Here is a 17,471-nt window from a genome sequence, read left to right as displayed (position 1 = left end):
ATCTCTGAAGTGAGTTAGCTATTTTGGGAATGAGTTCCTGATAAAAGAGTAAGTTCAGCCCCCTTCTTGTCTCTTACTCTCTGAGTGTGCTCTCTTGCCCTTCCACCTTCGGTCATGGAATGACTTTGCAAAAAGGCCCTCACCTGATGAGGCCTCCTTGACCCTGAACTTACCAGCCTCTAGAACTGTAAGAAATAAATTACTTTATAAATTATGCAGTCTGTAGTATTCTGTTACAGCAACATAAAACAGGTAAGACAAAGCCAAAGTAAATTTCTTTGACTTACAATTTGAAGAATTTATTTAATTTTCTTACAATGCCCTTAAGTTTGAATTAAAAACACAAACCTCAAACTTCTAGTACAATGATCTTCTAATTTCTAGGAGCATTTAAGTCACCTAGGGGGCTAGCTAAAACAGAATATTCCTGGAGGCCATCTCCAGGGATTCTGATTTTAATTTAGAGGAAAATGCCTTTAAGAAATAGAGTTCTAGTTAAGTTAATTTTTATTAGCTACATATTCTAGTACATGATGATTTTAACACTTAGCAATCAATATCCAAAAACTGCCATTATCATCCCTCTCATAAAAAGGAGGTTTATACTTACTTGCTGCTTCCAATAGTTCTGGATGAAGAGAATATGGAATTAAAGGATCTGGCAGATCTGCAAAGAAAGCTTTAAGGGCTCCAGCTACAGCATTTACTGTTACTTCCATTGACACTAGATTGATATTATGATCTACAAGACAAAAATTAACATTTTAAATTATATAATAAAACTTTATTATAGAAGCAAGCTAAATGGTTACTTTTAGATCAAAAGATAACTTTAAGTCTTGGGCCACTTTTCTTTTTCTTTTTTTTTTTGAGACTGAGTTTTACTTTTGTTGCCCCAGCTGGAATACAGTGGCACAATCTCACCTCATTGCAACCTCCACCTCCCGGGTTCAAAGCAATTCTCCTGCCTCAGCCTCCCGAGTAGCTGGGATTACAGGCGACCGTCACCACGCCCGGCTAATTTTTTGTATTTTTAGTAGACATGGGGTTTCACCATGTTGGCCAGGCTGGTCTCGAACTCCTGACCCTCAGGTGATCCACCTGCCTCAGCCTCCCAAAGTGCTGAAATTACAGGCATGAGCCACGGCGCCTGGCCCCACTTTTCTTTTCAGGCTTACAAACTACACAGATCAGGGAAAAGACAACCAAGCAATAAGCCTTTTCTGTTATAATAAAAAAATGCTGTTAGGCTTATTAGTATATTGAGGAACTTTACTAATATCTATCTTTTTTTTTTGTTTATACAGCTATTTAAAAGAGGCCACAAGAGGCAGGTGAGGTGGTGCGTACCTGTAGTCCCAGCTACTCAGGAAACTAAGGTGAGAGGATCACTTGAGCCCAGGAGTTTAAGTCCAGCCTGGGCAACATAGTGAGACCCTGTTTCTTTGGAGGAGGAAAAAAAAAAAAGAGGCCATAAGTAACTAGAAAGAAAAAATAAATATGCATACAGGTTGATCTGAAACTTGTTCACTGGAACATTTCGTATCTGGGATAACTGCTAAGTAAAATCCACATACTCCAAAATTTGAAAAAAATCTGAAATCCAAAATACTTCTGGGCCCCAAGAATTTTGAATAAGGGGTACTCAATTTGTATAAATTCTAATTTGGACCTTTTAAGCTTACAGTTCAAAATTTTATGTAAAATGGTTTAAATTTAAGTAGTTGGTGAAGTTCCGACTAAAAAAATCAAGAATGGAACATACTAAAGGTGTATCATAAGGTTAATTTGCTATCAGTAAATCACTTTAATATAAAAAATAGGCCAGCAAAAAGAAAAAAAATTTCCCCATCACCTAGAGAGAAGCATTGTTTACAGTTTAGCATGTTTCCTTTCAGCCTTTCTCTGCTCATTAAAAAAATTGCCAAATCAATTGTTAACATTTTGCCCTACATAAACAATTTTAATGGCTGTGAAATATTTCCTTAGATTATACAATTTACATAATATTCTATTACTGAACATTTAGATTTCATTTAAATATATTACAATAATATGAAAATGATATGATGCTATGCTTTAATACATACAAGCTTATTTCCTTAGGCTACATTCTTTGTAGTAATAGCTACCCAATGAACATTTAATATGGTGCTCGGAGAGAAAACTCTTCATATGCATTATCCCATCATCCTTATAGTTACTCTCATCACTCCCATACTAGACATGAAGAAATTGAGATTTAGAAAGATTAACTTGCCAGAGGCACAAAAATAGTGGCAGTGGTGGCAGGACGAGAAAACAAAACAAGAAAGTCAAACTCAAGAGCCTTGGTATTAACTATAACCATGCATTCATTACTGGAAGTGAAATTCTACCAATTTAATACCATTGTCTAAACAGTTTTTTAAACACTATAGATAGATATACATAGATAGATAGATAGATAGATAGATAGATAGATAGATAGATAGATAGATTTCTTTTTTTTGAGATGCAGTCTCGCTCTGTCACCCAGGCTGGAGTGCAGTGGTACAATCTCAGCTCACTGCAACCTCCCCCTCCTGGGTTCAAGTGATGCTCTCGCCTCAGCCTCCCAAGTAGCTGGGATTACAGATGTGTACCACCATGTCTGGCTAATTTTTTGCATTTTAGTACAGATGGGGTTTCACTGTGTTGCCCAGGCTGGGCTAGAACTCCTGAGCTCAGGCAATTCGCCCACCTTGGCCTCCCAAAGTGCTAGGATTACAGGGGTGAGCCACTGTGACTGGCCAATATTTTTTAAAAATGGGATACTAGACTATACGATACTCTTTGGCAACAAGGTGTGTTTTTGTATACACACAGTCACACACACACACGCCACTCAATAACTGATGTTTTGCCACTTCAACAGGCATAAAATCTTTATTTTACATGGCTTCTTGGTATTCATTCTACTTATTAGACCTGAGTGGTACCCCCCAACACCCCTTTTAAAAAAAACTTACAATACTGCAAGGAAGAGCCTTGTAAGTATATCTTGGCATGCTTATGCAAAGACTTCTGTAACACATTCCTAGAAGTGGAATTTCTCTAGCAAAGCTATCTGAATCCTGATATTCACAAACTGCCTCTCAAAAGGCACCTACAACCAACAGCGTACAAGATACATGTTTACTTACGCTCTAACAATTCTTTTCATTCAAATAAAACAAATAAATATAATCCTTTAATTTTTATCATTAATAGAGGCTAAGCATATTTTCATGTATTTATTGGTTGCTCTCTTCTGATGTGAATTACTTAAGCTAGGTATGTCACACCCTGTTTTAGCCACATGTCATACAGAATTTTTACATTTTTGTAAAATTTTAGCATGTACATAGTCCAGTCTATCAACTTGGGTTCATGCTTTCTAGGTTTCATATCAAGTTTAGGCTTTTCTTTACTCTAAGACTATAAAAATATTCACTCATTTTTCTCCCTAGTACTTATGGTTTTCATTTTTTACGTTTAAATCTTTAATCGCATATAGAATTTACTGAATATGAGTAGAAAATTCGGCTTTTTTTACTCCTAATGGCTAAGATGCCGATCAATCATAAGTCAAATTACTGCTTTTCTAAATCTGGTGATGGATTTATACAGGTTCAGTCACAGTCTTTTATTTGTGAGATAGTTTAATGTATTAGGAATACGAAATTTGGGAAGAAACTCGGAGTATATGCTCCATAAAATATCTAATCTGATATCAAAATATTGTACAGTATTCCCTTCAGTCTTAGTGTAAGAGATAGTTTCTTGTTATTTCAAAAACAAAATTTATTCTACTGCTTTCCATTCCTTCCAGGCCTGATGGACTTTGCTTCAATACTGAATGCCTGCTTTTCCAGTACCTCCTTTCTTATTTACCAAATCCTCTTCTGTCTTCATACTTACATTAAAAATTTATACAATATTGTATTTTCTTGACTCAACTGCCTCGTTTTCAATCTTTTCTTCTATTGCAATTGTATTTTAGAAGTTTCTTATCATCTATTTCCTCTTATAAATCCCTAGTACCAAGTCCCCTTAATTCAAAGGCTCTAAAAGTAATCAGTGACTTCCTTGCTAATGTAAAGAAAACAGGCTTTCCCTAGCTGTTTTGTACCTTTACTGTGGTATCTATTTTACTTAGTGCTTCTAATCTCACTTTGAAACCCTCTCTCCTCAACATCCATATCCTTAGGAAGTTTTCAAATGAAAATCAATCTTCTCACCATGAATTCTAACAAGGAAAACATAAAACAACAATTTTTATTTCACATAATCATCTTCTTACCTTGATCAAACTGCTTTTGAATATTGTCTTGGTCAGTTTTATTCCCGCTGACACGGTAGAGTCCTTCGGTACATAACCCTAAGAGAATAAAGAAATATGCATACTTTAATAAACACATATATATCCACACGGCTGGGCACAGTGGCTCATGTTTGTAATCCCAGCACTCTGGGAGGCCAAGGTGGGAGAACTGCTTGGCCCAGGAGTTTGAGCCCAGCCTGGGCAACACAGGGAGACTCTGTCTCTACAAATAATAAAGAAAAACTTAGCTGGGCATGGTGGCATGCACCTGTAGCCCCAGCTACTCAGGAGGCTGAGGCTCAGGCTCCCCACCTGAGCCTGGGAGGTCAAGGCAACAGAGCAAGACCCTGTCTCCAAAAAAAAACCCCAACCAACCAAACAAAAAACCAATATACATCTATAACAATAAATGTACTTAATCTTATGTACAATTTCGTTACAAATTTATAGTGGTAAAATATTTGTAAGAATAAAATATTTTTTGAGCATTTTAAAAAAGTAAGTTCTTAGTGGACTGTTTTCTATTTTAAACCATTTAGGACATTCAGCTCCTGACAAAATGAATAGACTTATTTCTCCCTACTCTCCCACTAAATACAGCTAAAAACCCTGAATCTAACATGTAAAAAAACCAAACATAAGTAGTCTGTGAATGGTGGAGAGAAGAAGGCAAACCGGCTAATGACTTAGAAACTTGAAGAACGACATGACAGTAAGTTCCCTGATTTTTGAGGGGGCAGGCAGAGGCTCATATCATGACTGGGCGTTGGAGAGGCCTGCAACCCAGAAATACTAATAAGGCAAAAACACCACCACCACCATACCCAAAACTAACAAAAACAAAAAGATAAAACCCAACAACAGCAACAAGAAGTCTGCTTTCCCTAGTGAAAGGATTAGAAGAGGTACAGCCTAGCAAAACAAAACCTTTTTGACTATAATTGCCCTACTCAAGCCACAGAGCATGGAGTCCCTCCTCACTCTTGTCAGTGGAGGCCAACTGGGAAGCCTAGACTTCTACTGCTGCCAATCAGTAACAAGGAGTTCTTTACCCTTTCTGGAGTGTCAGCAGAGGCTGAGTCGAGAGCCTAAACTTCCACCACCAATCCTAGGTAAGAGATGCCCTACCTACCCCACCATGCTATATTATCAGTGAAAGCCAATGGAAGCCAACAGGAGTCTGAACTTCCACTCCCACCTTGCAGCCCTCCTCCCCTGCTGGTGCAACGTCAGAGGAGGCCTGCTTAAATAGATTTGAGTAATATTCCAAAGTCTCTGAATACGATATCCAAAGTGTCTATGAGATACAATAATAAAACAAAAGTCCCCCATATCAAAAACCAAGAAAAATGTCAACTTGAATGATAAATGACATTTAACAGATACCAACACAATGGTGGCAGTTATGGAATTATTGAACAGGACTTTAAAGCAGTTATTATACAATGTGCAATTACAAACACACTTGAAACTTGAAAAATAGGAAGTTTCAGCAAAGAAACAGAATATATAAGGAATAACTAAATGGAAATTTTAGGCCAGGAGTGATGGCTCCCGCCTGTAATCCCAGCACTTTGGGAAGCTGAGGTGGGTGGATCACTTGAGGTCAGGAGTTTGAGACAAGCCTGGCCAACATGTTGAAAACCCACCTCTACTAAAAATACAAATATTAGCTAGGCATGGTGGTGGGCGCTTGTAATCTCAGTTACTTGGGAGGCTAAGGCAGGAGAATCACTTGAACCCAGGAGGCAGAGGTTGCAGTGAGCCAAGATCACACCACTGCACTCCAGCCTCGGCGACAGAGCGAGACTCCTTCTCAAAAATAAATAAATAAATATAAATATAAATAAATGAATAGAAATTTTATAACGAAGAAATACAGTGACAGAAACAACTCACCAAGTGGGCTCAATAGCAAGATAAAGATGACCAAAATAATAATAATAATAATAACTGAACTTGAAGATAAATCAATAAAAATTACCCAATTTAAAGCCAGGCATGGTAGCTCACACCTGTAATCTTACCTCAAAATAACTATACTTCATTGTTCTCTAGATAACATTTATCCTGACTTTGTGAATGTATTCTTTTACAGAATTCTTATTACTCCATGTATATCTATATATCCCAGTTGAAACATTTCTTCCTCATTGACACGTTCCCTGCTATCTCCAATTAGACGCAATTTTTTCTTCCTTTGCACTCCTGTAGTACTTTATCTATAGCTCTATTACTACTCAGTAAAAGTCATAGCAGGAACTTTCCATCCCCAGGGTTCTTCACACAGTGCAGTGGTTCTCAGCTGGGGGCATAATGCACCTCAAGGAACACTTGGTAATGCCTAGAGATATTTTTGGTTGTCAAAATTGTAGGAAGGCTATCTAACAGGCAGTGGCCAGGAATGCTGTTAAACATCCTAGAATGCAAAGGACAGCCTCTAACAACAAAGAATTAAATAGCCTCAAATGTCAATAATGCTAAGGTTGGGAAACCCCTTCCACAGTGATAAACATTTATTATTATTTGTTAAATGGAGATTATAAGGCCCTTAACTATCCACACTAAAATCTTGCCCTTTACTCACTATTAACAGTGATTTCAAAAAACAAAAACAGACTAAATTATCCAGCTGTGAATTATCCAAGTTTTATATGGCCTTAAATCACCCAAAGTATCCATCCTGGACCTCCAAGCAATAAAGGGATTAGAAACCTATCCCAACATTCCCAAGCTAAATATAAAATTTTAGTAATGTAAAATAATGTTGCCTTTTGGCTGGGCACGGTGGCTCATGCCTGTAATCCCAGCACTTTGGGAGGCCAAAGCGGGCGGATCACGAGGTCAGGAGATTGAGACCATCCTGGCTAAGAGGGTGAAACCCTGTCTCTACTAAAAATACAAAAAAAATTAGCCAGGCGTGGTGGTGGGCACCTGTAGTCCCAGCTACTTTGGAAGCTGAGGCAGAAGAATTGCTTGAACCTGGGAGGCGGAGGTTGCAGTGAGCCGAGATCACACCACTGCACTCCAGCCTGGGCGAAAGAGCAAGTCTCCGTCTCAAATAATAATAATAATAATAACAACAACAACAACAACAACAACAACAACAACAACAACTAAAATAATGTTGCCTTTTAATTGAGTACCTTTTTTCCCTTTCATTAGAAAAGGTCACTAACCCTTAAGTAACCCAGAGTATTACTGATATCTGAAGTTTTAGAATGGCCTAAGTTTTATTTGAGTTGCTAACAGATAAAAAACCAGGGTTTCACTGCCTGTTCCCCTACACCTTCAGGGTGACATAATTATTTAAGTCATAAAATAGATTACAAAGGGTAACAGAGATGCAAGGTGTATAAATAATCCATAAATTTGATAAATGTGTCCATGGGGAGTGATGTCACCAAAAGTGGTGGATAAGAGAATTCCAGGACTCAGTCCCCCAACAAAAGCGACTAATGAGCTGCCAGAAGGGTCAGAATCAACGTTTGCAGAACTCTGTAATCTATTAAAAAATTACAACAACCAGTAATCATCTTGGTGAAGAAAGCTTTAAATTACCTCCCATCCCCTAATACCCCAGATTAGTGACAATCATGAGGACAGTAGCCTGCACTGTGGGTGTGGGTTACACAAGTGCCAGAGAGCAATACCAACCTTATTCTGAAAGAACTGTGGTCATGGATTTCAACCTGTCTTTTGGCTCTCTGAAGGGAAGGCACAAGGGCTTGCCTTTGTTTCACCCACAAGACTTGGAAAGTGTTGTTTTTCCCTTGGCTCCAGATATTTAAAGAAACTAACAAATCACCGCAAAGTGAATAGAACAGACTTCAGTGGCAGCAAATGGCAAAGAATACAGACTTCACAAAAATAGTTTACAGAAGTCTCTAAACAAGCAAACAACATAAACAACACACAGCAAAAGCAAACCCTGGTGAGGGGAAAGAATTTCATTTCCAGAGCTGCCATATTATAATCTTTTAAATGTCTTTATTTTCAACAAAAGAGGCATACAAAGAAACAAGAAAGTAGAGTTTATTACAGGAAAAAAAGAAATTTAGAGAAAATGTCCATTGCATTTACTAGACAAAGACTTTAAATCAAAAGTTCTTTTAAAAAATCACAAAGATCTAAAGGAAACCATGAACAAAGAACTAAAGGAAACCAGGAGAATGATGACTCAACGAACTGAATATCAATACATACACAGAAATTATAAAAAGACGCTAAAAAGAAATTCTGCAATTGAAAAGTACAATAAATGAAAAGAAAACTTCACCAGAGAGGTTGAGAGGTTAACAGCAGACATGAGCAGTCAGAAGGAGTAATCAGTGAATTTTTAAAGACTGGTTGAGATTATCCAGTCTGAAGAGAAAAGAGGAATGAATGAAAAAACAAGAAAGAAGCAACTGTCACATATAAGGTATATTCAATAACATTAACAGCCTATTCGATCTTCAGAAACCATGGAGGTTAGAAGACAGTAGAATGATATATTTAAAGTGTTTAAAGAGAAAAAAAACCCTGCAAACCAAAAATTCTGTGTCTGGTAAAACTATGTTTCAAAAATGAAGGAGAAACTAAGATACTCTTAGATAAACGAAAGTTGAGAGAGATTGTCACTAGTATACATGTCCTACAAGATATGGTAAAGAGAGTTAAGGAAGTTCTCTAAGCTGAAATGAAAGGGCACTAGACAGTAACTTGAAGCCATACAAAAAAATAAATAACGAAGGTTATGGCAGCTAGATAGGCAAGCATATAAGCCAGCAGTATTTCATTTTTGATTTATAACTCCTTTTTGTCCTGGTATGATTTTAGAAGTACATAAAACAATAATTACAAGTCTATGTTAATGGGCATAAAATGTATAAAGATGTAATTTCTGACAATAACAAAGATGGGAAATGAAGCTGTAAAGGAGCGGTTTTTGTACACTTTTGAAACTAAGGTGCTTTCAATTAAAACATGACTATTATAAATATGTTAATTGTAATCTGCAGGGTAATGACTAAGAAAATAATTTGAAATCTCCTATTAAGACAGAGATTAGTAGAATGGATAAAAGAGAAAAACAGCATCCAACTATACACAGTCTATAAGACAATCACTACAGTACCAAAGACACAATATGTTGAACGTAAAAGGATAGAAAAGTACATTCCATATAAATAGTAATTAATAAGACAGTGGGAGTAGCTATCCTAGTATCAGAAAAAATAGACTTTAAGACAAAAACTGTTACAAGAGCATAGAAGGACATTATACATCAGTAACAGGGAGACTCCATCAGTAAGATATAATTATAAACATAAATGCACCTAACAAGAGTCCAAAATACATAAGGCAAAAACTGACAGAATTGAAGGGAGAAATAAACAATTCAACTATAAAAGTTGGAGACGATAGTAGTCCACTATAATAATGAACAGAACTAGACAGATCACCAAGGAAAACAGAGACTTTGAACACTAAAAACCGACTAGACCAAACAAACACACAGAACACTCTATCTAACAACAGCACAATATACATTCTCTTTAAATGCACATGTAACATTCTGGAGGAAACACCGTATGTTAGGCCACAAAACAAGTTTAAATAAATTTTAAAGGCATGAAATAATAGAGAGTATGTTCTCTGATCACAAGGGAATAAAAACAGATATAAGTAACAAAAGAAAAATTAATAAATATGTGAAAATTAAACAACATTCTTTTTTCTTTTTTTGAGACAGAGTCTCACTCTGTCGCCCAGGCTGGAGTGCAGTGGTATGATCTCTGCTCACTGCAAGCTCCGCCTCCTGGGTTCACACCGTTCTCCTGCCTCAGCCTCCAGAGTAGTTAGGACTACAGCATGCGCCCGCCAACACACCTGGCTAATTTTTTTTTTTTGTATTTTTAGTCGAGACGGGGTTTCACCGTGTTAGCCAGGATGGTCTTGATCTCCTGACCTCGTGATCCACCTGCCTCGGCCTCCCAAAGTGCTGGGATCACAGGCGTGGGCCACTGTGCTCGGCCAAACAACACATTCTTCAACAGCCAATGGAACAAAGAAGAAATTACAAATAAAATTAGAAAACACTTCTAGATGACGATTTAGTGGGTGCAGTGCACCAGCATGGCACATGTATACATATGTAACTAACCTGCACAATGTGCAGATGTACCCTAAAACTTAAAGTATAATAAAAAAAAAAAAAAAGGAAAAAAAAAAAAAAAAGAACAAATAACCTAAAAAAAAAAAAAAAAAAGAGAGAGAAAAGGAAGTGGAATATACAAAAGAAAAAAAGATCTGGCAGGAAATTATATTGGCAAAATTATTTTTAATCACATATGGTATTATCCTATTGTTAGCAATGTCTGGCATATAGTGGTTTTAAATAAATGTTTTCTTTTTATTTTTCTTTTAGAAAAAAAAAAAGAAAATACTTTGACATGAACAAAAAGAACAATATACAAAAACCTATGGGATGCAGCCAAAAGATTTTCAGACGGAAACCTGCATCTGTAAAAACCTTGATTTAAAAAGATTCCAACTTTAAGGAACTAGAAAAAGAAGACAAAGCTAAACCTAAAGCTAGCAGAATGAAAGAAATAATAAAAATTAATATAGAGATAAAATAGAAAGTAGAAAAACAATAGGGAGAATCAAACAAAACCAAAAGTTGGTTCTCTGAAAAGATTAAATTGACAAACCTTTAGCTAGATTTACCAAGGAAAAAAAAGAGAAGACTCCAATTACTAAAATCAGAAATGAAAGTAGACACATCACTAATGAAATATACAGATAAAAAGGGTTACAAGAGAATACTATGAACAATTGTACGCCATCAAATTAGGTAAGTTAAATGAAATAAACTTTTTTAGAAATATACCAACTACCAAAACTGATTCAAGAAGAAACAGAAAATCTCAACAGCTCTATAAACAAATGAGCTTGATCTAGTAATCAAAAGCTCACAAAAACAAAAAAGCCCAATACAAGATATTTTCACTGATGAATTATGCCAAACCCTTAAAAAAGTATTAACAATAATTGATCTCAAACTCTTCTAAAAAACAAAGAGAAACACTTCCTATGAAGCTGTGATTACCCTAATGCCCCATAGCCAGATTAAAAATACAAAGTGAAAACTATAGGCCAATATCCCTTACATATACAGATTTTTAAAATCTTCAACAAAATACTACCAAACCAAATCAATATTAATTGAATATTAAGAATAGAATATTAAGATTATACATCATGACCAAGTAGGATTTATCCAAAAAAAGCAAGGGTAGTATGAAATATGGAAAACAATTAGTCTGATGGGCCACATTAATAGAATAAATCAGCAGGGGGTGGGGGGAACCATATGATCATCTCAATTGATGTAGAAAAAGCATCTGACAAAATTCATCACCCTTTCATGATAAAGTCACTTAAGCTAGGAATAGAAGGTTATCTTCTTCAACACGATCAAGGACATTTATGAAAAATCCAGAGCTATATACTTATTAGCTGTGATGAAATATGGTGAAAGAATCAGTTTTCCCCTAAGATCAAGAACAAAACGAGTATGTCTGTTTTTGCCACTTCCGTTTAACATTACACTGGAGTTTTAGGCAAGGAAAAATAAATAAATAATATCCAAGATGGAAAAAAATGAAGTAAAATTATCCCTATTTACAGATGACATGACTTACATGCAGAAAATCCTAAAGAATCCACAAAAAATACTAGTAAGAGTTGGCCAGGCGCAGTGGCTCACGCCTGTAATCCCAGCACTTTGGGAGGCTGAGGCGGGCAGATCACCTGAGCTCAGGAGTCTGAGACCAGTCTGGGCAACATGGTGAAACCCCATCGCTACTAAAAATATAAAAACTAGCCAGGTGCAGTGGCACCCACCTGTAATCCCAGCTACTCGGGAAGCTGAGGCAAGAGAATTGCTTGAACCCAGGAGTGGAGGTTGCAGTGAGCAGAGATTGCACTGCTGCACTCCAGCCTGGGCAACAGAGTGAGACTCTGCCTCTAAAAACAAAACAAACCACAAACAAATAAAAACTAGTAGAAGTTAATACAAAATTCAGCAAAGTTGCAGGTTACAAGATCAACACATAAAAGTTAGTTGTATTTTTATACTCCAGCAATGAGCAATCTGAAGATGAAATCAAGAAAAAAATTCTATTTACAACAGCATCCTAAAGAATAAAATACCTAGGAATAAATTTGACCAAGAAGGTACAACACTTGTACAATGAAAATGACAAAATAGTGTTGACAGAAACTAAAGATCAAGATCTAAATAAAAGATATCCTGTGTTTGTGGATTGGAAGGTGAAATTTTTTTTTTTTTTTTTTTTGAGACGAAGCCTCACTCTTGTCCCCAGGCTGGAGTGCAATGGCATGATCTTGGCTCACTGCAACCTCCCCATCCTGGGTTCAAGGGACTCTCCTGCCTCAGCCTCCTGAGTAGCTGGGATTACAGGCGCCTGCCACCACGTCTGGCTAATTTTTGTATTTTTAGTAGAGACGGGGTTTCATCATGTTGGCCAGGCTGGTCTCGAACTCCTGACCTCAGGTATCTGCCCACCTCAGCCTCCCAGAGTGCTGGGATTACAGGCGTGAGCCACCCCACCTGGCCCGGAAGGCTAAATATTTTTAAAATGGCAACTTCTACCCAAATTGATCTACAGATTCAATGCAATTTTTATCAAAACCTAATTGGCTGTTTTTGCAGAAATGGAAAGGAAAATCCTCAAATTCACATTCAATTGCAGGAAACTCTGTAGCTAAAGGAATCTTGAAAAAGAAGAAAAAACCGAAGAACTCTATGCTTTCTGATTTCAAAACTTACTACAAAATTACAGTAACCAAAACAGTGTGGTACTAGCAAAAGTATAATATACAGATCAATGGAATAGAACTGAGAGCACAGAAATAAACCCATGTATCTATGGCCAACTGATTTTCAACAAGGGTGTCAAGACCATTTAATGAGAAAAGGATACTCTTCGCAATAAATAGTGCAGAGACAGGCGAATATCCACATGCTTAAGAACGAATTTAGATCTCTACCTCATACTAGATACAAAAATATATTAAAGACCTAAATGTAAGAGCAAACCCTATAAAACCTAGGGATAAAGGAAAAAGTGATAAATCTTCATGACCTTGATTTTGCCAATAAATTCTTATTTATGATACCAACAGCATGAGCAACAATATACATCCAATTTATTTAAAAATAAATTGGATTTCATTAACATTTAAAACTTTTATATATTAAAAGATATTATCAAGAAAGACAACCTACAGAATGGGAGAAAATACTTGCAAATCACTTACCTGATAAAAGTCCAGTACTAGGAATCAACTTAACAACTTAACAAAAGATAACCCAATTTAAAAAGGCCAAAGACTTAAAAAAAAAAATTTCTCCAAAGAAGGTACACAAATGGCCAAGACACACATGAAAAGATGCTCAACATCATTAGTCAACGGGAAATGGAAATCAAAATCACAATGAGGTATTACTTCATATAATTTAAAAATGGAAAACAGCAAGTGTTGGTGAGGATGTGGAGAAAATGAAACACCTGTACACTGCTGATAAGAATGTAAAATAGTGTAGCTGCTGTAGAAAATAATGTGGTGCTTCTCTACTAAGTTAAACATAGAATTACCGTATGATCCAGCAATTCCACTCCTAGGCATACACCCTCAAGAATTCAAAACAGGTACTAAAACAAATACTTACACAAACATTCACAGCAGCACTATTCACAATAGCCAAAAGAATGAAAACAATCCAAATACTTGTCAATGAATAAACGGCTAAATGTGATATAGCTATATAATGGAATTTATAAATCATAAAAAGAAATAATGTACTGATACATGCTATAATGAGGATAAGTCTAAATAATATGCTAAATGAAAGAGCCATACACAAAAGGTCACATTTTGTGATTTCAGAACATGAAATTCCCAGAATGGGCAACTTAAAGAGAAAGCAGATTGGTTGCAAGGGCTGTGAGAGGAGTGAACTGAGGAATGACTTTAATGGGCACAGGATCTCCTTTTGGAGCAATTAAAATATTTTGCAACCAGAGGTGATGGTTGCACAACATTGTGAATATACTAAATGCCTCTGAATTATATACTTTAAAATGGTTAACCTTATGTTATATAAATTTTACCTCAAAAAAATTCTAAAAGCCCATGCTGGGAAGAAAAAAACAAAACAAGAACTAGTAGTAGTATATAAACTTATTGAACCTAGCTCCCACTGAATTAAAAGTACATTCTTATGTTTGATTAAGTATAAAAACTACAAAAGGAGGTCCATGAGTAAATGGTAAAAATCATTATTTCAAGAAAACTGCACAATGCAATATGCATTTTAACACAGTAAAACATATCCTACATTCATCAGTTATCAAAAAATTAAATAATTATTTGATCATTTGGTAATGTAAAATTAAAAATTAACTAGGCACTATGCTCACTATACTGGACTCATCAGAGTATCTCTTCTGGAAATTTGGAATTAGAATTCAAAGATATGTGGTTAGGCTTAGCATGTGGTTAAAACTTAGACCTAAAAATCGGCCAGGAGTGGTGGCTTGCACCTGTAATCACATCACTTTGGGAGGCCAAGGTGGGTGGATCATCTGAGGCCAGGAGTTTGAGACCAGCCTGGCCAACATGGTGAAACCCTGTCTCTACTAAAAATACAAAAATTAGCTGGGTGTGGTGGCATGTGCCCGTAAACCCAGCTACTCAGGAGGCTGAGGCAGGAGAACTGCTTGAACCTGGGAGGTAGAGGTTGCAGTGAGGCTAGATCACGCCACTGTGCTCTTGCCTGGGCAACAGAGGGAGACTCCACCTCAAACAAACAAAAAAACAACTTAGACCTAAAATTCTAGGATCTGGTGAACAGACCAGGTGAGTCTAGACATAAAAAAGAAGAGAAATGAAAAGAGAACACTTCCTGGTTCTGGCCCAATAGATGAGTTGCTTTCAGCTTCTCTAAGTTACCTTCATTCCAGTTAAATGTATTTTTTGCATTAGTGTTTGCTGACTAGCAACTAAAATAATTTAAACCAAAAAAGCCTCAATTCCTGGGCAATGAAAGTTTGGTATTTTTTCTTTCTAGGCACTCAATACTTTTTAATAGGAAAACTTTGGGAGTGATGAGACAACTGGATTGGAAGGAACAAAATAAATGCTATATACTGAGTCTTCCCTGTAAAACAGATGTTAAGACAAACAATGCTGGGAATGGACAAGCATGGGCAATTAATGGTATGTGGGCACAATGGGTGAAAAAGACAGATTAATGAGATACCTGAGGCCTGGACAACTGGGAGAATTAAATATAAGAATGAAATATAAGAACACTCTGGAATGTGAGAGATAAAGATCTGGGAGTCATTCTTGTAAACGTGATGGCTCAGGCCCAATAGCAAATATAAATCAGACATGCATAAATGACATCAACAGTAAACGGAATGGCTATAAATTACTCAAACTACTTAAAGATACACTTAGGATAAGCAAAAGACAAACACATGAAGACATACTATGATGAGACATTGTGATGATATTTTTATTTCAAACAAGATTTAATGTTCCTTAAATGCCCACTCTGTGCTGTGTTTAGAGTATGTATGTGTGATACAAGACATAAAATATATTGTCCCTGATACTGTATAGTTCAATAGGCCGGCTATTTTGAGTTTTAAAACAACAGCTGAAGTAAATGTGTTCATGCTGTTTTTAATGATGCATTACTAATGGGGCTTCACTTAAGCTAAGTGAAGTGAGATTTTTCACATGCTAAAAAGCTGATAGGGATGAAGTAACATCAATAGAGCAAGAGTTTTTTGCGGTGATACTTGACATTTCAGGCACAATGCCATTACAGGAATAAGACAAAAAGCAGTATTTTCTTTTCTCAATTTATCAAAAACGAGTTTCTTAAAATTCCATGTGGGGAGGGGGATACATATATTATGATAAATTCAGTTTATTGAACTAAAATGTGTCACTACTTTCTAGTCAAATAAAATTTAGGAATATTCTGCAAAAAAAGGCTTTGAATTTTTTCATGAAAAAATTCATGACATGAAAACATACCCACAAGATTAGAAAACTATTCTAAATTAAAGAAGACTAAAGAAGTATGACAAGCCCACTTGATCATGGTGGATAAGCTTTCTGACGTGCTGCTGGATTCGGTTTGCCAGTATTTTATTGAGGATTTTTGCATTGATGTTCATCAAGGATATTGGTCTAAAATTCCCTTTTTTAGTTGTGTCTCTGCCAGGCTTTGGTATCGGGATGAAGCTGGCCTCATAAAATGAGTTAGGGAGGATTCCCTCTTTTTCTATTGATTGGACATCCCTGGGATGCAAGGCTGGTTCAATACATGCAAATCAATAAATGTAATCCAACATATAAACAGAACCAAAGACAAAAACCACATGATTATCTCAATAGATGCAGAAAAGGCCTTTGACAAAATTCAAAAACCCTTCATGCTAAAAACTCTCAATAAATTAGGTATTGATGGGATGTATCTCAAAATAATAAGACCTATCTATGACAAACCCACAGCCAATATCATACTGAATGGGCAAAAACTGGAAGCATTCCCTTTGAAAACGGGCACAAGACAGGGATGCCCTCTCTCACCACTCCTATTCAACACGGAGTTGGAAGTTCTGGCCAGGGCAATCAGGCAGGAGAAGGAAATAAAGGGTATTCAATTAGGAAAAAGAGGAAGTCAAACTGTCCCTGTTTGCAGATGACATGATTGTATATCTAGAAAACCCCATTGTCTCAGCCCAAAATCTCCTCAAGCTGATAAGCAACTTCAGCAAAGTCTCAGGATACAAAATCAATGTGCAAAAATCAAAAGCATTCTTATGCACCAATAACAGACAGAGAGCCAAATCATGAGTGAACTCCCATTCACAATTGCTTCAAAGAGAATAAAATACCAGGAATCCAACTTACAAGGGATGTGAAGGACCTCTTCAAGGAGAACTACAAACCACTGCTCAAGGAAATAAAAGAGGATACAAACAAATGGAAGAACATTCCATGCTCATGGGTAGGAAGAATCAATATCGTGAAAATGGCCATATTGCCC

At 36.4% G+C, this 17,471-nt stretch overlaps 1 protein-coding gene across 2 annotated transcripts in view; it reads right to left on the bottom strand.

The window, feature by feature from the left end:
- ARHGAP5 (Rho GTPase activating protein 5) overlaps nt 1-17,471 on the bottom strand; it is an 82,425-nt gene that overhangs the window by 9,085 nt on the left and 55,869 nt on the right. For both annotated transcript variants that reach the window (NM_001030055.2, NM_001173.3), the window contains exons 4-5: nt 4,304-4,381; nt 611-742 (exon numbers count right to left, since the gene is read on the bottom strand). In NM_001030055.2, coding sequence (NP_001025226.1) covers nt 611-742; nt 4,304-4,381 — 210 coding nt within the window. The remainder of the gene's footprint in view (nt 1-610; nt 743-4,303; nt 4,382-17,471) is intronic.

This window comes from Homo sapiens, chromosome 14, assembly GCF_000001405.40.
Source record: "Homo sapiens chromosome 14, GRCh38.p14 Primary Assembly".
NCBI classification, from domain to species: Eukaryota; Metazoa; Chordata; class Mammalia; order Primates; family Hominidae; genus Homo; species Homo sapiens.
Note: the sequence above shows the minus strand (reverse complement) of the source record. Positions and strands in the feature narration are given on the sequence as shown.